At 41.0% G+C, this 25,471-nt stretch overlaps 1 protein-coding gene and 1 long non-coding RNA gene across 3 annotated transcripts in view; one reads left to right on the top strand and one right to left on the bottom strand.

Annotated features, from left to right (window-relative positions):
* Positions 1 to 25,471, top strand: part of TLR8-AS1 (TLR8 antisense RNA 1) — a 40,484-nt gene that overhangs the window by 11,365 nt on the left and 3,648 nt on the right. The window contains exon 3 of the long non-coding RNA NR_030727.1: positions 23,603 to 23,720. This is a non-coding gene — a long non-coding RNA (TLR8 antisense RNA 1). The remainder of the gene's footprint in view (positions 1 to 23,602; positions 23,721 to 25,471) is intronic.
* Positions 8,767 to 25,316, bottom strand: TLR8 (toll like receptor 8). 2 transcript variants are annotated; one of them, NM_016610.4, is made up of 3 exons: positions 25,227 to 25,316; positions 21,494 to 21,630; positions 8,767 to 12,892 (listed from the first exon to the last, which is right to left on the bottom strand). In NM_016610.4, exons 2-3 carry the CDS (start codon positions 21,548 to 21,550, stop codon positions 9,770 to 9,772), a joined length of 3,180 nt encoding a protein of 1,059 aa, NP_057694.2. In that variant the 5' UTR covers positions 21,551 to 21,630; positions 25,227 to 25,316; the 3' UTR covers positions 8,767 to 9,769. The 2 variants fall into 2 exon arrangements, with proteins under 2 accessions (NP_057694.2, NP_619542.1); NM_138636.5 differs by lacking the exon at positions 21,494 to 21,630.

The following is a 25,471-nucleotide window of genomic DNA, read 5'->3' as shown; positions in this document are numbered from 1 at the left end:
GAGCCACACCAGCCTTCCATGAGCCTGAATTCAGACTTGCTCTTATGCCCATATTTGTTTATGGACCATCGCATGATTTCTACATAGTTGCACTCAATTTACACACTTCTTCCATTTCATGATAACATCCTTTGCCTTCTTCTTGGCTTATGCTGTGCTTGCTCTGAACCATAGCCCAACACTCAATAAGAATGTAAATGATTCTTGCCCAGGCTCAGAGCCTCATGGAATCAGCATCATGGTACCTGAGATTGTTGGTGCTGTGTAGTACTCAAGAGACAATCAGCATGCTTGCCACCATGAGTGGGCAATGGGAACATGGAAGGTGCAGAAGGCCTACCCTTATGCATGACTGCTACAGTGGGACATTTGACAATGTGGCCTGACCTTACTGTATCTGTCCTAGGGTGTAGCTAGAGAAGCCAACCTGAACCTTTGCTCATTCATTCATTCACTTGAAAAGTATTTATTGAAAGTCTTTGTTGTGTATCAGGCGTGGTGATGAATACTGGGGACAGAGTGATGGACTAAAAGTCACCTTCCCTGATCTTTGGGGCCTACAGTCTAATGGAAGACACGTGTTGTAGCCACACTATTCATTTCTCTATCATTTATCCAACAAAACTTGTGGTAAATGCTGAGAAGATAGTATAAGGGGGACGTCTGAGTGGGATTTGGAGGTTAGAATAAAGCTGCTCTCAGTGGCATTTAACCTCTCCCTGTAGGGTAAGCAGGAATTAGCTAAGTGAAGTCTGGAGTCAGACGTGCCTTGGGGCAGTCGTATGTGTGTAGGTGCTGAGATGGGAGTTTGGTGTGTTCTTAGCACAAACCGAAGACAACTGGTGGGGGTGCTTAGAGTGGAGGCTGGAGGGGTGCACAAATGGAAGGTCACAAAGGGATTGTGGGTCTTCTCCAGGAGTTGAGATTGTCAGCCTAATTCAGAAGAAGCCACACTTTTGATAAGAATCACTCTAGCTTCTGGAACTGAATTGGAGGGAACACAGTGGATACCAGGAAGCTAGTGAGCAATGCAGGTATCTTGGACAAGGGGTGTTGATGATGGACACAAAGATGGGGGATGGATGGGAGAAGAATTTAGGAGGTCAAATGGAGAGTCCTTGATGAGTGGTTGGATCTCACGGTGAGAGGGAAGAGTCAACAACGAGGCTCTGGTTTCTGGTTTGAATAACTGCATTTGGGCTTCTCTCACAAACCCAGACATGGCTCTTAATTATCTCTGAACTTCTGGGGTCATCATTACTGAGATAACCAGGGAGCTATCCCTAAAATAGTTTAGGGGTAATCTCAAAGGAGGGAAAGACTGAGTACATAAAACAGGGGAGCCTTTTCTCTCTACTCCTAGAAATATGTTTCTCACACACAAAAAAAGAAATTTTAAAAAGGCTCAAATAATAAACAGCTCCCCAATGGCAATGTTCTATGATCATAAGTAGATTTTTTGTTTGCTTTGGTTTTTCTTATTAATATCTGATGAATTTTAAATTCTAGTCTCTACCCTTTGCACACTGGAGGGACATTTATAAAGACCATTTTCCATTCTGAGTCATTGGCACAGGAAGCCCTGGGTTGTCTCCTTCAGGTTCAAAACACTGCTACGTCTTGCCCCGATTGCTGAGTAAGGCCTGGGGCTTTATCTATTCCCCCTTTCCCTGAAAGCATTTAAGGGCAGCAATGAAGAGAACACAGTAATGTGACCTTCCCTTGTACTCACTGGAAATAATGGATACTATTATGACTTTAAGTTCAAGGATAATCAGAGTAGAAACCTTGCCATATTGCTATAATAGCTTTATTAATAGCCGACAGGAAAATTGCCTTTTTCTTCCAATAGTCGTGAATGACTCTCCCATTCACAAGGGCATTTTCAACTTTCATGGAGTTCTCAGTAACTTCTAAGGAAGAAAAGCCACGGTTGTGGTTATGGGTTGAACTGCATCCCCACAAAATTACATGTTGAAGTCTTAACCCCCAGGACCTCAGAAGCTGACCTCATTTGGAAATGAGGTTGTTGCAGATGTGATTAGTCAAGATGAGGTCATAGTAGGAGTAGGGTGGGTCCTTAATCCACTATGACTTCTGTTCTTAAGAAGAGGAGAGAGACATAGAGGGAAGATGGCCATGTGACAACAGAGGCAGAGACTGGAGTCCTGCGTCTTCAAGGTAAGGAATACTGTGGATTGCTGGCAAACACCAGACGCCAAAAGAGGCAAGAAGGATCTTTCTCTATAGGTTTCAGAGGGAGCGTGGCCCTGCAGACACCTTGATTTCAGACTTTTAACTTCCAGAACTATGAGACAATAAACTTCTGTTTTTTAAGCCGTGCAGTTTGTGGCAGCTTGAGGAAACTAGAGTAGTTTTCATATTTGAAAGTACTTGGAGATCATTCAGTCCACTCTATAGATGAAGAATCATACTCAGCGAGGTGGAGTGATTTGTCCAGAATCAACCAGATCCTCTCCTTTGACCAGACCAGGCATTCCAATTCCTGTAGTTTGGGGTTCTTTACAGAAGCCAACAATCAGAGGTCAGTGCCAAACTATGATCTGGCAAATCTTGATCAATTCCAAGAAAAAAGCAGAGGGTCCGGGAAAGCTGATAGAGAAGACTTCAAGAGTGTAAGTGCCAGGAGCTTCAGACATGGTGCAGCAATGCCAGAAAAACCACCCAAAAAATGGGCCAGGAAGAGAAATATTGCTGTCAGAATATTCACAGAGTTGTGTAATCATCACTCCAATCAATTTTAGAACATTTGCATAACTTCAACAAGAAACCCCAGACCCCTGAATAGCCATGCCCATCTTCTCCCAATCCCTCAACCCTCTACTGCCTCAGGCAACTACTTACCTACTCTCTGTCTCTGTGCATTTGCCTATTCTGAACATTTCATATCAGTGGAATCATACAATATAGGGTCTTTTGTGTCTGGCTTCTTTCACTTAGCATGATGTTTTCTTTTTTTTTTTTAATTTGCATACTGTCTATGTCTGCTTTGTTTCTGTTATTTTATTTTATTATTATACTTCAAGTTTTAGGGTACATGTGCACAATGTGCCGGTTAGTTACATATGTATACATGTGCCATGCTGGTGTGCTGCACCCATTAACTCGTCATTTAGCATTAGGTATATCTCCTAAAGCTATCCCTCCCACTTCCCCCCACCCCACAACAGTCCCCAGAATGTGATGTTCCCCTTCCTGTGTCCATGTGTTCTCATTGTTCAATTCCCACCTATGAGTGAGAATATGCGGTGTTTGGTTTTTTGTTCTTGCGATAGTTTACTGAGAATGATGATTTCCAATTTCATCCATGTCCCTACAAAGGACATGAACTCATCATTTTTTATGGCTGCATAGTCTTCCATGGTGTATATGTGCCACATTTTCTTAATCCAGTCTATCATTGTTGGACATTTGGGTTGGTTCCAAGTCTTTGCTATTGTGAATAGTGCCGCAATAAACATACGTGTGCATGTGTCTTTATAGCAGCATGATTTATAGTCCTTTGGGTATATACCCAGTAATGGGATGGCTGGGTCAAATGGTATTTCTAGTTCTAGATCCCTGAGGAATTGCCACACTGACTTCCACAACGGTTGAACTAGTTTACAGTCCCACCAACAGTGTAAAAGTGTTCCTATTTCTCCACATCCTCTCCAGCACCTGTTGTTTCCTGACTTTTTAATGATTGCCATTCTAACTGGTGTGAGATGGTATCTCATTGTGGTTTTGATTTGCATTTCTCTGATAGCCAGTGATGGTGAGCATTTTTTCATGTGTTTTTTGGCTGCATAAATGTCTTCTTTTGAGAAGTGTCTGTTCATGTCCTTTGCCCACTTTTTGATGGGGTTGTTTTTTTTTTTTCTTGTAAATTTGTTTGAGTTCCTTGTAGATTCTGAATATTAGCCCTTTGTCAGATGAGTAGGTTGCGAAAATTTTCTCCCATTCTGTAGGTTGCCTGTTCACTCTGATGGTAGTTTCTTTTGCTGTGCAGAAGCTCTTTAGTTTAATTAGATCCCATTTGTCAATTTTGGCTTTTGTTGCCATTGCTTTTGATGTTTTAGACATGAAGTCCTTGTCCATGCCTATGTCCTGAATGGTAATGCCTAGGTTTTCTTCTAGGGTTTTTATGGTTTTAGGTCTAACGTTTAAGTCTTTAATCCATCTCGAATTAATTTTTGTATAAGGTGTAAGGAAGGGATCCAGTTTCAGCTTTCTACATATGGCTAGCCAGTTTTCCCAGCACCATTTATTAAATAGGGAATCTTTTCCCCATTGCTTGTTTTTCTCAGGTTTGTCAAAGATCAGATAGTTGTAGATGTGCGGCGTTATTTCTGAGGGCTCTGTTCTGTTCCATTGATCTATATCTCTGTTTTGGTACCAGTACCATGCTGTTTTGTTTACTGTAGCCTTGTAGTATAGTTTGAAGTCAGGTAGCGTGATGCCTCCAGCTTTGTTCTTTTGGCTTAGGATTGACTTGGCGATGCGGGCTCTTCTTTGGTGCCATATGAACTTTAAAGTAGTTTTTTCCAATTCTTTGAAGAAAGTCATTGGTAGCTTGATGGGGATGGCATTGAATCTATAAATTACCTTGGGCAGTATGGCCATTTTCACGATATTGATTCTTCCTACCCATGAGCATGGAATGTTCTTCCATTTGTTTGTGTCCTCTTTTATTTCCTTGAGCAGTGGTTTGTAGTTCTCCTTGAAGAGGTCCTTCACATCCCTTGTAAGTTGGATTCCTAGGTATTTTATTCTCTTTGAAGCAATTGTGAATGGGAGTTCACTCATGATTTGGCTCTCTGTTTGTCTGTTATTGGTGTATAGGAATGCTTGTGATTTTTGTACATTGATTTTGTATCCTGAGACTTTGCTGATGTTGCTTATCAGCTTAAGGAGATTTGGGGCTGAGACGATGGGGTTTTCTAGATATACAATCATGTCATCTGCAAACAGGGACAATTTGACTTCCTCTTTTCCTAATTGAATACCCTTTATTTCCTTCTCCTGCCTAATTGCCTTGGCCAGAACTTCCAACACTATGTTGAATAGGAGTGGTGAGAGAGGGCATCCCTGTCTTGTGCCAGTTTTCAAAGGGAATGCTTCCAGTTTTTGCCCATTCAGTATGATACTGGCTGTGGGTTGGTCATAGATAGCTCTTATTATTTTGAGATACATCCCATCAATACCTAATTTATTGAGAGTTTTTAGCATGAAAGGCTGTTGAATTTTGTCAAAGGCCTTTTCTGCATCTATTGAGATAATCATGTGGTTTTTGTCTTTGGTTCTGTTTATATGCTGGATTACGTTTATTGATTTGCATATATTGAACCAGCCTTGCATCCCAGGGATGAAGCCCACTTGATCATGGTGCATAAGCTTTTTGATGTGCTGCTGGATTCGGTTTGCCAGTATTTTATTGAGGATTTTTGCATCAATGTTCATCAAGGATATTGGTCTAAAATTCTCTTTCTTGGTTGTGTCTCTGCCCGGCTTTGGTATCAGGATGACTCTGGCCTCATAAAATGAGTTAGGGAGGATCCCCTCTTTTTCTATTGATTGGAATAGTTTCAGAAGGAATGGTACCAGTTCCTCCTTGTACCTCTGGTAGAATTCGGCTGTGAATCCATCTGGTCCTGGACTCTTTTTGGTTAGCAAGCTATTGATTATTGCCACAATTTCAGAGCCTGTTATTGGTCTATTAGCATGATGTTTTCAAAGTTCATCCATGTTGCATCATAGTATTAGTGCTTCATTACATTTTATGGCTGAATAATATTCCATTGTATGGATAGATCACATTTTATTTATCCATTGATTAGTTGATGGATCCTGGCCATTTCTGAACCCACCTTAAGACTTAGCACATATTAGTTGTCCAAAAAGCCTTTGTCCACTAAGTATACGTTTTGGATCAAAGAGGAAGATAGTTGAGGTAACACAGGCCTGATGATTTTATATTCTTACCTAAATTGGTGATAGGAGAGGCTAGAACCTTGAGAAAGGTAAAAGAGATTTGCAACATTTGAGACCTATTCTTTCTCAACAGAAGGTGCCTGAGGATCTAATTTTAACTGAATCACAGGTCCAGTTGTTCACCCCTCGCAGAGTCCAATTAACAAGGGTGAGATGTGGTATAAAGAAAGTGACTTTTTAAACAAAATTTTATTTTTAGTTTTTGTGGATACATAGTAGGTGTATATATTTAGGGGGTACACGAGATGTTTTGATACATGCAATGGGTAATCACATCATGGAGAATGGGATATCCATCCCCTCAAGCATTTATTCTTTGAGTTATAAACAGTCCAATTACACGATTTTTGTTATTTTTAAAAAGTACAGTTAAATTATTATTGACTATAGTCACTCTGTTGTGCTATCAAATAGTAGATCTAATTCATTCTTTCTATTTTTTTGTACCCATTAACCATCCCCACCTCCCCTAGCTTCCACTTCCCCTCCCAGCCTCTGGTAACCATCCTTCTACTCTCTATGTCCATGAGTTGAATTGTTTTAATTTTTAGATCCCACAAATAAGTGAGAACATTTGATATTTGTCTTTCTGTGTCTGGCTTATTTCACTTAACATAATGACCTCCAGTTCCATCCATGTTGTTGCAAATGACAGGATCTCATTCTTTTTATGGCTGACTAGTACTCCATTTTGTATGTGTACCACATTTTCTTTATCCATTCATCTGTTGATAGACACTTAGGTTGCTGCAAATCTCAGCTATTGTAAACAGTGCTGCAGCAAACATGGGAGTGCAGATATCTCTTCAATATAATTACTTCCTTTCTTTTGGGTGTATACCCAGCAGTGGGATTGCTGGGTCATATGGTAATTCGATTTTTAGTTCTTTGAGGAAACTCCAAACTGTTCTCCATCATGGTTTACTAATTTATATTCCCACCAACAGTTTATGGAGGTTCTCAATAAAATGACTTTTATTCCAAAAATTAGCTTAGGGGGAAGAAGTATAGGCTCCTGACTTTAAGGGTATCACTTTGCTTTTGGGGCAGAAAGCAGGGGCTTTTAAAGGGGGAGTTGGCATTAATGGCATGCAGGGAAGGGAGTGAGAAGGTGAGGTCTATGCAACTTGCTTTTGTGTCTTATGTACCAGGTGGTTGAGCTGGTGCCATTGCAGGCAGAACTAGGTTGTAAAGTGACCATTGCCTCAAGATATCCTCCAGGTGGGAGAGAGTTTTGTTGTGGGCATGCTTTAGGTTGTAAATTGACTGCTGTCTCTTGAGGCAGTCCCCGAGTGGGAGAGATTTCTGGCTCTGGAGCTTTTAGGTAAGCGTATACATAAGCTTGCCCTGTAGGGAGTGTCTGGTGAAGGGAAGATAAAGGTTACAATTGCATTTTTAAAGATCTAACTAGGGAGTGGGGAAAAGGGGAAAAGGAGGAAAGAGAAAAGAAGAAAAAAAAATTAAAAATAACTCATGAAGACTGTATGGATAGTTTCAAGAACTGTGGCAGTCCCAGGAGGAGCATGGAGGCTTTAGTGGGGGGGCTCTGGAAAGTCCTTCACATACACAGAGGCTGACTGCTATGACACAGCTGCCACTTTCCAAAGCCCACTCTTCCTTCCCCTCTTTCACTCCATGGAAACATGCTACACTGAGGCCTGGTCTTGAGAAAAATGCAGAGGAGAAGAAGACCTGTCACCAATGATCCAAGGTCTCTGCACAAGTACATTTTGACACAGTGCCAACTGGTGTACATAATAGGTGCTCATTCAATTTTTATTGCTTGAACAGTGCAGAATATCTGAGTATGAATGACCTGCATCAAAAGAATGGAGATTTCCTCTGAGTGAGAGCCTCCACTTGGCAGGAAAAGGTCCAGGGAGTGTGAAGGAGAATCTATCAGGGTCTGACTCCCAGGTAGCTGATAAAACTCAAACCTCACAAATTCCTCCTCCATAGAAAGGCTCTACCTTTCCTCTAACTAAGGTGCCCTTTGCTGAGGGCAGTGGGAAGCATGTGGTTCAACTGGTAGTCCTACAATTGAGGTAGATTTTAATCCAAGGATTATAGGTGTGAGATACCACACCCATCTGATCTTGCTTTTAGATATTTGTCCCTATACCTCAACAAGCACAAGCATAAACATCTTTGTATAAACTCTTCATGGTCACAAAACAGCATGCAATGTGACAAAATTAAATTGTCCTTGGCAAACTTGCACTGCTTTCCACTTTGTGCGTATTAAATAACACTATGACACATTATTTTGGTCAGTTTCTTAGAAGCACATATTAAAAGGTAACTCATGCTGTAAGATTTAACTAAAAAGGAAAGATGGTATATTGGAGGTTTATCTTCTTTTCATTCTGAAGCAACTTCCTTTTCTTATGCTTGGATAATTTCTAGTTATTCTCAGGTAAATTTCATTAGATATCTCAAGATTCATACTGGATAGAGGATGCTATGGACTGATGCAGAGGAACCAAGGGGACAGTAGAAGTGGAAAGGGTTGCCAAAGTTGTTTCATTTGGGGGAATTGCACAAAGGCTACCAACAGCCAGGCATTCTGACTTTATGTCTTCTGAGTAGGGAATCAAGATAGAATTTATCTATTAATAAGTATCTTAAAGTAAAAGTGTCATGAAAACTGCTTCCCCTTTGATTTCTACCAAATAGTTTTTTAAAAAGAGTTCTGAAAAAATTCAGTGTATATGGCAATTTCTTTTATATTAAAGACCAATTTCTCTATGATATATTTATCATACACTCCTCTTGTAAAATGAAACATTTTTATTCATTCATTTTAAGATTTACAGCAATGGCAATTAACAATATAGACCAAAAGCTTCGAATTTAGCTGCATACTTTTAAAAAATGGTAAGAAGTAAAAGATGCTTTAAAAGCTATCCATCTCAGTTCTTAAATGGCATCTAAACCTTAGAAGTCAAATGTTACAGCAAATATTTGTAAAAGCAACTGTAAATAAAACCGAACGCAACCACAGCATAATATAACCATGTAGCCATAGATATATGATAAATATAAACAACAGCTTAATATTAGGACCATTAGTCACAGTGGCAAAAGTTCTTAGATATTGAAAAGAAGATGTGTTAGGTCAACTGCTAAGATGGTCCACAGTGATCCCTGCCTCCTGATATTCACAATCTATCATCAAGATAGCAGGCCATCCCAGGACAGCAGTCAAGGGAAAATAGTTGATGACCAACTGAAGCAATCAGAGCTCACCATCTTGGTCTTCAGCTGTTTTCCCTGGACTGAGGTGGTCACTCCCATGGAGCTGGTGGGACCTGTGGTTTACTTCTAACAAATAGAATATGGCCAAAGTGATGAGATATCACTTTTTTGATTCGATTACAAAAGATTGTGACTTCATCTTGCTAGCAACCTCTCTTTTTTGCTAGCTCTGATGAAGCAAGCTGCCTTGTGGGAGAGGCTCGCATGGCTTACATGAGTATAGCCTTTGGCCAATAGCCCAGGAGGAATTGAATCCAGAAAACAACCACATGAGTGTGACCCCAGTGATGCCTATGTCTCTGGTGAACACCTACATTGCAGCCTCTGAGACACCCTGAGCAGAGGACCCAGTTATGCTGGGCCTGGACTCCTGACCCTCAAAAACTGTGGGCCAGCAAATGTGTTGTTTTAAACCACTAAGTTTTGGGATAATTTGTTACATAGCAATAGATAACTAATACAGAAATGTCATTCCTTTGCATCTTTATTATGGCGCGAAATCATGACTTAACGTCAGTTAGTATTGCTTAATGGAATCGACATACATATTGTTATACCGTGAATCATTTTCAGTCAAGACCACATTTCTCAGAGTTTGCCAAAACAAGCCTTCTGCCTTCGGGTTGTCAGGCCACTGGAGGATGGAGCTCTTACAGATCCGCTGCCGTAGCCTCAAATACTGAGAATGCTGTAACACTGGCTCCAGCAGGATAAATATAATCACATCCATGTTCTCATCCATTAGCCTCTGCAAAGCCAAGTAAAAAGCTGTTTTAAAGTTCCAGCTTTTTGCATATTTTTTGGTTAAAACAAATACTGTTTTCTTGCTTTGGTTGATGCTCTGCATGAGGTTGTCGATGATGGCCAATCCCGGGTCCCAATCCCTCTCCTCTAGACAAAGGAGAACGTTTTTGTCTCGGCTCTCTTCAAGGTGGTAGCGCAGCTCATTTATCACCCAGTCAGTAACAGAGGCATCTTTGGTGTCATAAGAAATGTAAGCATCATAGAAAGTTTGGGATGTGGAAAGAGACCTGTAGCCTTTTACCTTAGCTAAACACACATTATATATAAACCAAACATCCCAGTAAAACAAATGGTGAGCCAGGGCAGCCAACATAACCATGGTGGTGATAAAGAACGTGAAGAAAAATAATATCACTGCAGTGACATCTGAAACACAAGTTGTTAGCTCCAGACTCACAATACTCTTCCCTCTTTGATCCCCAGGACTGGCACAAATGACATCTACCAGTCTGGGAATTTTGACATTCAGATGTTCATCCATCCATCTTCGGAAATCTCCAATGTCACAGGTGCATTCAAAGGGGTTTCCGTGTAGTTCCAACATAGATAATTTGGTGGTGGTCTTAGTTTCAAGTGCGGATTTGTTGATTGTTTTTAGCAGATTGGAACTTAAATCGAGGTGCTTCAGACTACTGACTTCAGAAAGAAAGCCAGAGGGTAGGTGGGAAATCCTGTTATGACTCAGCAGCAGTGTCCGAAGGGAAGATGTAAAGTCAGATAGGCTATCAGTTAAAAAGAGTAGTTTGTTTCCACGTAAGTCAAGCAACTCGAGACGAGGAAACTGCTGGAGTAATGTCCAGTTAAAAAACTTTAACATATTATCATTTATATGTAGTTCAGTGAGACTCGCTGGCAAATTAAGGAATGCTTCATTTGGGATGTGCTTCAGCCTATTAAGGGATAAATCCAGACGTGTCAGATTCTTGAGACCTTTGAAAATGGAGATATACCTGTTGTCATCATCATTCCACAAAATGTCAAGGCGATTGCCACTGAAAACTAATTCTACCAGGGACTTGCTTTCCAGGTTATACTTATCTGTTAAAGTATAAATGTTGTTGTGGCTCAAGTTTAAAACTTTTAGATTTGTGAAATTTTGAATAAATTCTAGATGATGTGTTACGCCTGCTATTCTGAAATAGTGTGAATTATAGCTGAGATCTAGAACTTCCAAGTCGGACAATTCAGTAAGAGCACTAGCATTATCAAAGTCTAGTCTATTGTTTGTCAAATCCAAATATTTGACATGAGGAATGGCTGAAAATTCAGTTCCACTTAACACTTGAGCATTGCTATTTGCAGACAGATTTAAACAGGCAATGTCAGGAAGATTTTCAAATTGGTTTGGCCCAATGAAGAAAATACTGTTGAGGCTTAAATCTAAGGCTTTTCCATAAGCAGCACATTGTGGCTTTATTAAAGGACGGGTGAAATGATAAAAGTTCGAATGTGGGTCAAACTCAAAATCTGTTGAGCGTCGTTTCCGGATATGACGTTGAAAAGAGGAACTATTTGCATAACTCTGCCGGGTATCTTTTACCAACGGTGATATTCTGTTTTCTGACAAGTAAATAATTTCCAGATTGGAGAAATTTTGGAAAAGTTTGAAATCGATTTGCTTAATAAAATTAATACCCAAGTTGATAGTCGATAAGTTTGGAAGCTGCATCAGGGGCTGGAAATCATCTTCTCTGAGTTCCTGGAACACATAACCTCTTAAATGCAATGCCCGTAGAGACAAAAGTTTAGAGAAGTTTCTGGAAATATTAATATGCTGTGGATAACTCCCCTTTATATAGTTAAAAGACAAGTCAAGTATTTCTAAGCGGGGCAGCATCGTTAAAAATGCCCCAGAGGCTATTTCTCCCACTAAATAGTTGAATTCAAGATCCAGCACCTTCAGATGAGGCATATTTTTAAACCAGGCAGCATTAATCTTCCTGAGGGAAGTGCTAGAGAGGTTTAGGTATCGAAGTTGGGTCAAGTTTTGAAAAGCAAAACGATCTATATTAATTGAAGCACCACCATCACAAGGCACGCATGGAAATGGGGCATTGAAGCACCTCGGACAGTTCCCGCTTAAATCTAGTAATGTTAAATTTATCAATCCCTTGAAATCTTCTTCACTAATGTATTTGATCTGGGTGTTGCTCAGAAAAAGTTTGCGTAGGGAGCTTGGCAGTTTGGGTGGCACGTGTGAAAGAGAATTGAAAGATAGTGATAGCAACTCCAAATTTGTCAGCGTTTCAAATACTCCATCTTCTATGTTAGTTTTCTCGCAAACTTTGTTAAAATAGCAGTTCCAGGCCAAATAGAGATTTTTCAAGTTTATAAGTCTTGAAATGCCCTCTTTAGTTATGTTGTATATATTGTTTTGAATTAGACTAAGTTCTGTCAAAGACTCTGGCAAACCAGAGGGTATTTGGGGTAACTGGTTGTCTTCAAGCAGTAACTCCCTTAGGTTTTTTAGGTTGAGGAATGCCCCGTCTGTGATATTCAAGCCATTTGATTGTATACCGGGATTTCCGTTCTGGTGCTGTACATTGGGGTTGTGGTTTAGATTTATTTTAGTGAGATTTTGCAGCCCTTGAAATGATTCATTCGTTATGTGTGTGATGAAATTATCAGACAGGTCTAGTTCTGTCACATATTTGCCCACCGTTTGGGGAACTTCCTGTAGTCGACGATTGCTGCACTCTGCAATAACTGAGTCATTTTGCTTTTTCTCATCACAAGGATAGCTTCTAGAAAAATTTTCTTCGGCGCATAACTCACAGGAACCAGATATTAGCAGGAAAATGCAGGTCAGCATTGACGACTGAAGGAACATGTTTTCCTAAGGAAAATCAAAAGTGGAAGCACAGTATTAGAGTAGCAGTATTTGCCAGGTGTTTTGTAAATAAATTAGCAGCGCTGCCCCATACTTGTATGAATTTTGATGTGTGCATTCACTTAACAATTAAATAAATTGCATCAGATTAGGTCCAGAATGATTTTACTTTTTTACTATGTTCAGCTTCATGGTGCTAAAAGAAGTTGAAGATGGGCTGTGTGTGGTGGCTCACACCTGTAATCCCAACATTTTGGGAGGCCGAGGTGGAAAGATGGTTTGAGCCCAGGAGTTTGAGACCAGACTGGGCAGCATAGGGAGACCCTGACTCTACAAAAAAATGAAAAAATTAGCCGGGCGTAGTGGTGCATGCCTGTAGTCCCAACTACTCGGGAGGCTGAAGTGGGAGGATGGCTTGAGCTCCTGAGGTCGAGGCTGCAGTGAGCCATGATTGTGCCACTGCACTCCATCCTGGATGACAGAGTGAGACCCTGTCTCAAAAACAACAAAAAAAAGGAAGTTGAAGATGAAGCTATCTGAGATTATGATGATGAGAAGACCTGGGAAGCTTCTGCAGAGGCCATTAATCAAGATACTCCACCACCATAATGAGTCTAAGCTGGACCACAGCTATGGTTTATAGTAAGTCTATAGCTTTGCAAGCTATATATTTATAGCACCAACCTACTGACATGACACTTGATGAAACTTTGGCCAGTCCCCAAGGAGAGTTCAGATGCAACTTCTAATATGGTATCATCCTAGATCTTCTAGGCAGTCATCTTTACCTTATTTATACAGCTATATCTCTCTTACTGGTATTTCCCACAATTGTTCTATACTTCTATGGTGACATATATTATGTTTTCTTCTTGCATGACTGGAAAGTGGGCACTTTATGTTGATAATAATAACAAACAAAATGTCAGGTATTGTGCTAAGTGCTTCATAAACATTTCATCACCCACATTAATGCTCACAAGAACATGACGCAGTAGGTCCTCTTATTATTTATATTTTGCAGATGAGAAAACAAACTCAGAGACTTAAGTACCTTTTTGAAGGATGGTATGCTGTAGCACTGGGACTTGAGCAAATCTGATTCCAAAATCATATTTTTAACAAGCCATCATGCTACACAATCTCCTTTTGAAATCCTCGTGCCTGAACTGTGCCTCAAATGTAAACAGCACTCAAAAAATTGTTTGTGGAATAATTACTACTCATATGTTCCCTATCACACAAACATTAGCATTAATAGCTATTTGCTTGCTAGTTTTGAAACTTCTCTAGGGAAGACACATGGTGCTTTATATTTTTATGCACCCTCAGTAACACAGGAGAGTGCCTCACTTTCTGTAACTGTTTCTTAATAAATAGAGGGCTGAATATATCACTTTTGGTAACCATACAATGCAATAAACAGATTAATGTGGTAGGTTTGATCAAGGGTTGTAATTAAGAGAACTCTCAAATCTTCTTTCACTGAACACAGAAACCAGCCTAGATTTTTCACTAAAGCCCAACTCATGTCTTTATTATGGATTAAACCAGATAAGTGCCTTTTTAAAAATTCTCCTAAAATTTAGGGCCGGTGAACTAACACCTTTATATGTCACACTCTCACTATGTTATAAAAGATTTTTATGTGGACATTGATTATTCTTAAGCTCAATCATTATTGCCCATTTGTAACAGCCAAGGAAAACCCAGCTCCTTTTGAGATGGAAATTAAAGTGGAGCAGAACTCCCAGACATGTTCAGTTGCTAGTAGTTATTTTCAAATGCAGCACTATCGTGATGTTGCTGCTTAATGTTTAACTTGCACTAAAACAAGCCTCTACTATACCTGGTGTGATAGGCAGAATTTTAAGATGACCCCCATGAATTTTGTCCCGGGTATTACTGCTGTGATGACATTATAGTATATGGCATATGGGAATTTATCTGGATGGGCTTAGTCTAATCATACGAGCGTTTGAAGGCGGAACGTTTTTTCTGGTTATCGGCAGAAGGAAAAGTCAGAGGGGTAGGATGCATGAGAAGAACTGGATGCCCTATTTCTGGCTTGAGGAGGTAGCGGCCCCACAACAAGGAATGCAAGCAGCCTGTGGAAGCTGAGAGTGGCTCTCTGCAGGCAGCTAGCAAGGAAATGAGGTTTTCGGGGTGGTGGTGGGGTAGTGAGTCGAACAACAACTGCAAGGAACTGAAATCACCTGACAATCTGGATGAACCTGGAAACAAATTTTTACTCAGAGCCTCCAGATGACAGCCCAGCTTGGCTTTATGAGACTTGGAGTGGAGAACTCAGGCAAACCTGCCCAGATTCTAACTTACAGAAATTAAGGCCAATCAATGGGCATTCTTTGAAGCCTCTACATTTGGGAGCGATTTGTTCTGCAGTAATAGAAAACTAATATATCTAGATGCTATGAATTCTAAGATGATTTATGGCTTGAAAACATGGAGCTCCTGCAGAGGCAGCCACAGGTCTCCAGGCTTCACATCTGTACCGGGAGACACAGGCACACCAAAGGAAGGGGCAACGGGGCTCAGACATGCAAGGCACTTTGAGGGAGACGCCACAGGCAATGCTATATTTGTTCAGGCACCTGAGCAGATCTCAGCCTGTGTGATTTCCAAGTTCCAACATTGCTAGATTTCAAAGTCACTTTCCGGACTCATCCCTGCCTTGATTAGCTAGTGGGTGGCCTGGGAAGTCTGTTCGATTACACTCACAATATATGAATTGGCTCCCAGTCTCATGGGTACAACAGATATGACTTAAACACAACATTACAAGGTTTACACTGTGATAAAAAAGAAGTGCATGACACTGTAAGAGCCTAAGAAGAGGGGACTTTGGCCTAGTCAAGGCAACTGGGGAAGATTTCCATAAAGAAGTGGAACCTAGGCCGAGGCGGGCCGATCACCTGAGGTCGGGAGTTCGAGACCAGCCTGGCCAACATAGAGAAACACTGTCTCTACTAAAAATACAAAATTAGCTGGGCGTGGTGGTGCATGACTATAATCCCAGCTACTCAGGAGGTTGAGGCAGGAGAATCACTTGAACCCAGGAGGCAGAGGTTGTGGTGAGCCAGGATCACACCATTGCACTCCAGCCTGGGCAACAAGAGTGAAACTCCGTCTCAAAAAGAAAAAAAAAAAAGGAGTGAAACCTGAACTGCAATCCTAAGGTTGAGTAGGCATGTGTAAGGCACAACCAAGATGTCAAAGGAATTTTTCAGGAAAAGGGAGCAGCATGTGCAAAGGCCCTGTGTCTATTCCCGTGAGTTTCCCAGGCTGTACCTCCAGAGAAGCCCTGGGACAGGAATTCAGAGAGATATGGTGTGGGTCTAAGACAAGGCACATCAGCTTTCATGTTTGCCATGGTAGGACTGCTTGCCACAGTGGGGCCCAGAGGACTGGAATGGCACAGAGGAAGTGGCTAATGGAGATGTCGTTGAGGTTCTCAGTATCTCCATGTCACTATGTTCTGTGGACATTTTTCAGTCCTCATCTTACTAAGCACATAAGTTTAAGAGACTGAGAGAAAGCCAGGGACTTGAGTAAAGACCAGAGTGGACCAGGCACAGTGGCTCACGCCTGTAATCCCAGCAGTTTGGGAAGCTGAGGCAGGTGGATCACTGGAGCTCAGGAGTTGGACACCAGACTGGGCCATGTGGCGAGATCCCATCTCTACAAAAAATACAAAAACAAATAGCGGGGCATGGTGGCTCATGCTTGTGGTCCCAGCTACTTGGGAGGCTGAGACTGGAGAATCGCCTGAGACTGGGAGGTGGAGGCTGCAGTGAGCCATGATTGCGCACTGCACTCTAGCATGGGGGACAGAGACCACCCGTCTCAAAAAAGGAAAAAAAGGCCAGAGTAGGTTTAAAAAATATTAATTAAATTGACAACTAAAAAGTGTATGCATTTATGATGTACAACATGATGTTTCGAAATATGTATACATGTAGAATGCCTCAGTCAAGCTAATTCACATATGCATTACCTCATATACTTATCATTTTTTGGTCATGAGAACACTTAAAATGGACTCTCTTAGTGATTTTCAAGTGTATAATATGTTGTTATTAACTATAGTCACCATATTGTACAATAGAGTTCTTCAATAGAACTTTTTCCTCCTGCCTAACTGAAATTTTGTGTCCTATTACCAACGTCTCCCCAATCTCTTCATCTGAGAAGTGATGTGAGCCTTTGAAGGTTTTTAAGCAGGGTGGCACCATGTTTAGATTGATTCTACAGTGTTCACTGGCAAGAGGGCACAGAACTTCAGTCATGAGATGATGGGAGTTTGAACTAGGGTGGTGGCAATAGAGATAGAAAAGAACGCGTTCAAGAGATATTTGGGAGGTACATTTGAGAGACATAGCAATGGATGAATAAAGGGAGGTAGAGGTTGTGAGGGAGAGGGATGCAATCAGAGTGACTTCTAGGTTCCTGGTCTGTGCACCTGGAGGGATGGGTGTCATTCACTGAGCAGGAAGATTGTTTGGGGTAGGGCTACTAGTAATTAAATTTGACAGGTTTGCTTTTGAGTTGAGTTTGTGATATTCAAGTAGAGGTGTCCAGTAGGCAGCTGAGTATGTGGGTCTGAAGCTCAGAAGAGAGTTCTGACAGAGGAATGAATTTGGGATTCATGACAATTGAAGCCATGGGTATGAATGAGATCACTCAGGGCAGTGTAAGGCATAAAGGATCTTCCACACTTCAGTTTTATGAACAATTTTCTCATCTTTTTCCTAGTAATTTTTTATGATTTCATTTTCTTATCCCACTGGAATTGTTTAGGTATAAAATGTGAGGTGTAGACCCACATTATTTTTTTCTAAATGGAGACCCATTTACCCTAACGTTATTAATTGGATGGTCTTTTGCTCACTGATTTTATAGGCTTCCTGTATCACATACTAACTCTTCTGTTATTTGGATCTATTTCTAGGCTTTTTGCTCTGTTTCATCAATATGTTAGTATTTAATACATACTTGGTATAAATATGTAACAGGTATATGCATTAATGAAAAGACAAATAACCCAATAGAAAAATTGAAAAAATATATTAACAGACAGTTCACATAAAAAGGAAACATAAATTGCTCTTAAAGCATAGGAAAAGATACTCAACCTCACTCAAAAATTACACTGTCATACCATTTTTCACTGATTCTGTTAGGCAGTTGAGGATATGGGGAAACAAACACTCTTAAATTTTGCTGGCAGGAATCTAAATTAACACCACCTCTAAGATGGAGGGTAATGTGTAATATCTATCACAATTGGAAACATATACTTGGAGTTGGCAATTTCAATTCTAGAAGTAGATCCTAAAGACACACCCTCATATATGCAAATGTCTGTATACAAGGATGTTCATTGCAAAGGCTGTTAGCAATAGCAAAAGACCGGAAATAATCTAAATGCCTATGAGTAGTAGTCTGGGTAAATAAACGATATTATGTTCACACAATGAAATACCATGTGGCAATTAAACGGATAAGGCAATGCTATATTCATTCATTCATTAAATATTTATTAGGCAGATATTTTATTTCAGGAACTGTATTTGAGTTGCAGATAAAACAATGAACAAACCAGGCTAAAATACTTGCCCATTTTGAAAGATAGAATGTTAGATGGTGGAAAGTATTGTGGAGAAAAATATAACTGGGAAGGGAAATGGTTATGTAGAATGTCCCTGGGCGGGGACTTATCTGATGCTTTTGTTATGATTAGATCGAGCTGATGAGTCTAGGGGAGGAAGATCACAGAAGTGCAGGGCCATTCTAGCCATATCATATGAAGGGTGCATGCTATCAACATGACTTTCACTATTTATGTGTACCTTGATCATCTGACTGAGGTAGTGTTTGTCAGGTCCTTATTATAATTTTTAACTACAGATTAACACAAATTATTTTTTTAAAAAGGCCCAAGGAGAATATGTCAGGGCAAGGCCAGATTCCAGACCACTCCCTTTGCATGCTAAACAAAACATTGTTAGTTGGTAACTCATGTTTAGGTGGACACTTGGGCGGGTCCAGAGGATCCATCTTGTGTGGCCTCACTAGCCTGGAGGTAAGGCCTCAACATCCGATTTCAAATCCAATTCTATTTCATACAAGGCAGAGAGGAATTGAGGGGGAAATCCTCTAGGGGCTGCTAGAGACCAAAACTGGAGTCTTTTGAGCTCTGCTCTGTTCTTTCGGGATGAAAATAGCCTCTGGGAGAGTCTAAAGCAGCTTAAAGCAAATTGTGGGCCATGAAAATGGCCAGAACATTCCCAAAGACATTTTTTAGTTAAGAGTTTGAGGTTTCTAATGCTGCCCTCCCAAAAAAGTACTGAAGTAAGAAACATGAGTCGACAAATTCCAAATAACCTGATTTTGAAAAGTACATAAATGGGAAGGGCAAGAAATGGTGAGCAGGTTGCTTGCAGAGAAGTTGGGGAGACTGTCATTGCTCCACCTTCTATATTCCGTGCAGGACTGCACAGAGTTGGAATGGATTGCTAATGCTCACTTTGCAGGGTGCTCTGCTCAAGTCCATAGGAGTGCTGTGTGACCATGCCCGGCATGGGGGAACCCCAGGTCCCAGCAGCCACTGATCTCAGAAGACAGAGCAGAGACCAAAGGCCCAGCAAGAGCTGCACCTTCTGAGCCAAGTTCTTCCTTTGAGCCACACCCATGCCTCTGACTACCAAAAGTTGTGGCTCCAAAAGGATATCAAAGGGCATCTGGTCCCAGATGAAGTGAGAAGGATACTAATGAGAAGTCACCCTCATTACAGCAGAACCAATCAATAGAAACAATCCAGCCTGGCAGAAGAGAAATATGCAAATAAAATAGAGAAACAGCAACTCTACAATAACTTAGAGAAATGGCAATTCTGCCAATAAAATAGAGGAAAAAAAAAATACCACTATGCAAATAGAGAGAAAGAGAGAGAGAGAGAAAGAAAGAGTGAGAGAGCACAACCAACTTCTGTTGGTTGAACCTAACAGTCGGGTGCTCCGATTAAAGCCATAGTAAAAGAATAGAATCCTCTAAGATCAAAGAAAGTGTAGGAGGAGACAACAGCTGACAAGAATTTTCTACAAAGTTTAGCAAAATGGAAAGCAGGTGGATGAACAGTAGATGGGGCAGAGCAAAGCAGAGAAGGCTGAAGCCTACAGCCCTGTGCCTTCTGTGCCGAAAGAGAAGTCCACCCTTGATGTCAACAGCTGATGGTATAATGGGGCTCGGGCCAGGCCCCAGGGACCAGTTAAGATAAGGAAGAGATGCTTACTAGAAATAAGATAAGTATTAGATTGGGAGCTGATGAAGTGAAGAACCTGGATTGAGTAGAAGTGGCAGAATAGAGAATCAAAAAAGGGGAGTTTTTAGGTTGAATTGTGTCCCCTAATAGATAACTTGAAGTTCTAACCCCTGGTACCTGTGAATACAACCTTATTTGGACTTTGCTGATGTCATCAAGTTAAAATGGGATCTACTGAATTAAGGTGGGCCCTGATCCAATAACTGGTCCCCTTATAAGAAAAGGGGAATTTGGAAATAGACACACAGGAAAGAAGGCCACCCACATGAGGAGAGGTGAAGGCTAGAGAGATGCAGCGGCAAGCCAGAGAGCATCAAGAATTGCTAGCTACCACCAGAAGCTGGGAGAGGAGCATGAAACAGATTTTCCCTCTAGCCCCTTAAGAAGGAACCAACCCTGCCAACAACACATTGGTTTCTGACTTGTGGTTTCCAGAACTGTGAGAGGATATATTTCTGCTGTTTTGATCCACCAAGTTTGTGGTACTTTGTTTCAGCAGTCCTGGGAAACGAATCAAGTAAGAGCAGAGAACAGGTAAATGACAGTTGTTCTGTGAAACCCTCTGCTGAGACAAGTTCAAGCTGCCAGAAAAAAGGCCTTTGCCTGGCATGCCCTTGAGCTTGCTGCAATGAACACCCTTATGAGGATGACTGGGTCTTCGTGGTCCAGATCTTTCACTGGGGTTGTCTTAGAGCACCCAGTGAAAAGCAAAACCCACTTCTTTAAAGAAAACGTATGAATCATGAAAAAAAAAAGAAAAAAAAATGTGCCCAACTTCTCCTCTCCCTGCCAAATACAGTTATTGCTAATGAGGAAGCAATTTCACAACAGTTTTTCTATTTTCCATACATCATTTGTCCTTTGGTTAGGTCCACAGTACATGACCTGCCAATTTTCTTCTGCAGATTCTGAAGGAAACAGACAGCACAACAACAACAGCCTCTCTCAGTCCTCACCCAAATCTTTCTTCTGAAATTGGATGCTGATGGCCACCAAACACGTTTTTAAAAGACCAGTGCAGTTTGAAGAACAGGTCAGAAAGTCTGCCTTCGCTGAAAACTCATTCGCTGGGAGTTGCAATGAGCAGATAGGACACACCCAGAATTCGCCTGAAGGGGAGGGCTGCAGCCAGGGCGGAGACCAGATGTGTGGGCACAAAGGTAGGGACGCTGCCATGTGAGACTAAAATAAATTCCACGTAGTGTGCAGTGCAGGTGGTCTGGGAGGGGCGTAAAGCTGTCTTCCTGGAATTAACAGCTTTTTACCTTTTTAGTCTCCTTTCCCAGGCTGCAGGAGCTATTTTGCAAAGATGACTCCTTCATTCTCCCTTTCAAAGGCTTCCTTCAAGGTCTCCTGGGATGGGTCTTGCTGATGTTCCCTAACACTGAAGTGTCAAGAGAACCTATTGATTATAACATGTAATTAATCTCCTCAGTTGAATTACTTAGCTGCTTCAGCACAATGTTTGGATTCAACCAGAGCTGAATTTTTGCCAGACTGGAAATAGTTCTAATTTTTGATGGATTCTGATTCATTCGCAGTTAACAATGTTGACCACTGATACATGATGAAAGGAAATTAAGAAATGGTTATGCAGGTAGGATTTGTCACTTTAGATGAAATTTACAATTAATAATAGATACTTTATTTTACCCATCCCAAATTCAATGGATTCACTAACAGCTTTGGAAGACAAAAGAAAACATGACCACATTAAGTGCACTTATCATTAAAGAGATGGGTCCTGACTTAACATACACAAAAATATGAAAAACTGTGTTACTGGATGCTGGGAAATAGGGTAGGGAGCATTTGTTTAATCCTCAGAAACAAAAACAAAAACAAAAAAACCCAAAGAAGTCCATGAGGCCCCTGCTTTACAGACATGGGACCTGAGGCTCAGAGAGATGAATGTTTTCAAGGTCACTCAGATGGTAGGTGGTAGAGTTGAAAGTGACCCTAGATTTACCTGAGTAGTTAATGAATTGGGAGGGCTGAAGCCAAGGGGCTAGTTGGCCATGATCTGGTTTCAGTGATCAGCAGAGACCTGATAGCCCTATGTGGAACCTCCAAGACTCAAATGCTGGTGGCGGATTTTCCACGTTCCCTTTCTGCACTGAGCAGGCTACCACAGAGAACTTCCAGATTCTTTGTCATTCCTTAGAACCACAGGAAATCTACTGATTTTAGACATACACACCAACTAGCAGCTCTTTGTAACTTTCTGCAAAATCAACACAGCCTGTATCTGCTAATGCCAATCCAGAACCACAGGTTATGTATTTATATTACTGTGTCTTATAGCAGGGGTGTCCAATCTTTCAGCTTCTCTGGGCCACACTGGAAGAAGAAGAATTGTCTTGGGCCACACATAAAATACACTAACACTAACAGTAGCTGATGGGCTAAAAAACAAATGCATAATATTTTCAGAAAGTTTATGAATTTGTCTTGGGCTGCATTCAAAGCTGTCCTCGGCCATATGCAGCCCGCAGGCCGAGGGTTGGACAGGCTTGTCCTATGGTCTTGAGTAGTCCTAAATTGGGGCTACTAATTTAAAAATAACAAATCCCTCAACCCCATTTAATAACCCAGATGAACTCAGAGATGTTGCATTGGAATGACGTTCCCCTCAATGGAACCTGGAGGCGACACTATGATGCACTTACAAATAATGTCCAACTGCGTTTCAAAGACTAACTGTGGGTAATGACATCCTTCCCTGTGAAACACACCCTAATATTCTGTGAGTCTGGGGTCTTCCATAAGACTGCTTTCTCTTTCATAATCTCTGAGATTCTTAGATTATTATAATGAAAGGATGAGAAGCAGTGATTGAAAGAGGAGAATGAACTCCATCAACTGCCCTCACTCTTATCTGCAGTCTCAGCTTTTCAGAGAAAGCATACTTAGAACTTCTATTTTGCTTTCTAAAATCAAACCAAGGTGGCTGGTAAATACATTTCAGCTCTTCCTGGAGCATTTCTAGCCACCTAAAAAAACGGACTGTGCTTTTTAACAAAAGGACCAAAAAACTGTTGATGTTCTAAGGCACTGATTCTTAACTTTGGCTGCACAGTAGAGATACTTAGGAACTCTAAAAGCTACAAATGCCAAGCCCTGTATCCAGAGATTTTGGTTTCATTGATCTGGGGTTCAGTCTGGGCAGCAGGAGTTTTGAAAGCTCCCCCTCTGATTTGAGTCCATTGCGAAGGCTAACAACCTCTGCCTTTAGGCAGGAGGTCAGCCAGGTCCTTGACCTCCATTGGCCACCAGTGGGAGCAAAGTGGCCATTTTTTGCAAGTTTAATTTGATTTTATTATTACTCTATTTACCAATCTGTTGTTGTTGTTGTTGTTGTTGTTTTGAAACAGAGTCTTACTCCGTTGCCCAGGCTGGAGTACAATGGTGCGATCTTTGCTCACTGCAACATCCACCTCATGGGCTCAAGCGATTCTCCTGCCTCAGCCTCCTGAGTAGCTGGGACTACAGGTGCGTACCACCACACCTGGCTAATTTTTGTATTTTTAGTAGAGACGAGGTTTTGCCGTGTTGACCGGGCTGGTCTCTACCTACTGACCTCAAGTGATCCGCCCACGTCGGCTTCCCAAAGTGCTGGGATTATAGGCGTGAGCCACCGGGCCCCGGCTATTTACCACATTCTTACAGTACAATTATACTGGCTATCACAGCAGCTTACAAATATCAAGTAGGAATTGGATAATTTCAACTGCAATCCCATATGTGTCATTGGCCCAGTTGACCGAATTCCATATGGGCCACCTACAGTCATTTTGTAAAGCATTGTAAAATTTTAGTGCAGAATTAATTTACCTTCAAGATCCATAATGAACATTAGGTGGGTATAAAAATTAACTTCAGGCCGGGCGCGGTGGCTCATGCCTGTAATCCCAGCACTTTGGGAGGCTGAGACAGGCGGATCACCTGAGGTCAGGAGTTCGAGACCAGCCTGGCCAACATGGAGAAACCCCGTCTCTACTAAAAATACAAAAATTAGCCAGGCGTGGTGGCACACACCTGTAGTCCCAGCTACTTGGGAGGTTGAGGCAGGAGAATCGCTTGAACCCGGGAGGCGGAGGTTGCAGTGAGCTGAGATCACGCCACTGCACTCCAACCTGGGTGGCAGACCCATTAACTTCAAAAGACTTAAGTGTACTTTAAATTGTTGTCAAAATTAACTCCAAGGACTTTGGGGAAAAATATATAGTACATTTTGGATGAGACTCTCTTGAAATCAGACTTTTCAATTGCTCTTAAACCTCATTGAATTTTCTAGAAAATGTATCATTTAAAAAGAAGTGTAAAGTTCATTTTTAGTCTGACAGTTCTTGACAATAACAAAAACGGACCACCTGCTATGTCTTGACAGTGTAAAATAATAATTACAGAAATTGTAGCATGTTATTAGGTTGGTGGAAAAGTAATCACAGTTTTTTGTACCAACCTAATTATTTAAAACTCTGACCAAGAAAAGTAGCAATTAATGTCGAACTTTAAGCCTCCAACAGTAGGTTAAGCTCAGGCTTCACTAGGATCTAGCAATTGACCTATGTATGTGAAGGAAGAGAGTTTGTCCTTTTCTACAGAAATAGCAAAGGAAGAATATTTCCCTCACCTTCTCTTCCAACCCTGTTGTTCTGGAAGAGGATATTGTCTCTGGTAGGGCCAGTAAGTAATATTTCCAGTTCAATTTCTAACTTGAAATTTTCTTATTTTCCTGTCCAAATTAGTAAGATCATCACTGCATTTGATTTTCAAAATTTACTCTCTAATTCCTTTATACTAACGTGTGCACAAATTAAAGATCATAGCAAGCCGCTTTACCTGCATTTACAGTTGTTTCGATCTTTAATTTTTATCCTTATTTGCCCATTTATTACTTTCTAGGCTCACACCATTTGCCACCAACCCAGATTTCTGGGTCAGAAACCCCATATTCTGTTGGAAAGCTTTGCTAAAGAAATAGAAGTGGCTTACCATGTTTCTGTTGTTCTAATTTTTCATTCCGTAACTTGCAGCAGCGCAGAATGGTACCCTCTATGCAGGAGGTGGCCGAGAAGAGAAACTGGCTAACTTCCTGAAATGGCTCTATTTACCATCAGCAGAACGTAGCGTGTGTTTTACAGAAGTTTACATGAAAAGAAGGGAACTTGTGATTTCTTAGCTGTTGCCAAATCATTAATTGACTGTGCTTTAAAACTTTGAAACTGAAGTTATGGGAA

This window comes from Homo sapiens, chromosome X (genome assembly GCF_000001405.40).
Source record: "Homo sapiens chromosome X, GRCh38.p14 Primary Assembly".
Classification (NCBI taxonomy): Eukaryota; Metazoa; Chordata; class Mammalia; order Primates; family Hominidae; genus Homo; species Homo sapiens.
The sequence above is the reverse complement of the archived record's forward strand: the minus strand, read 5'-3'. Positions and strand labels throughout refer to the sequence as shown.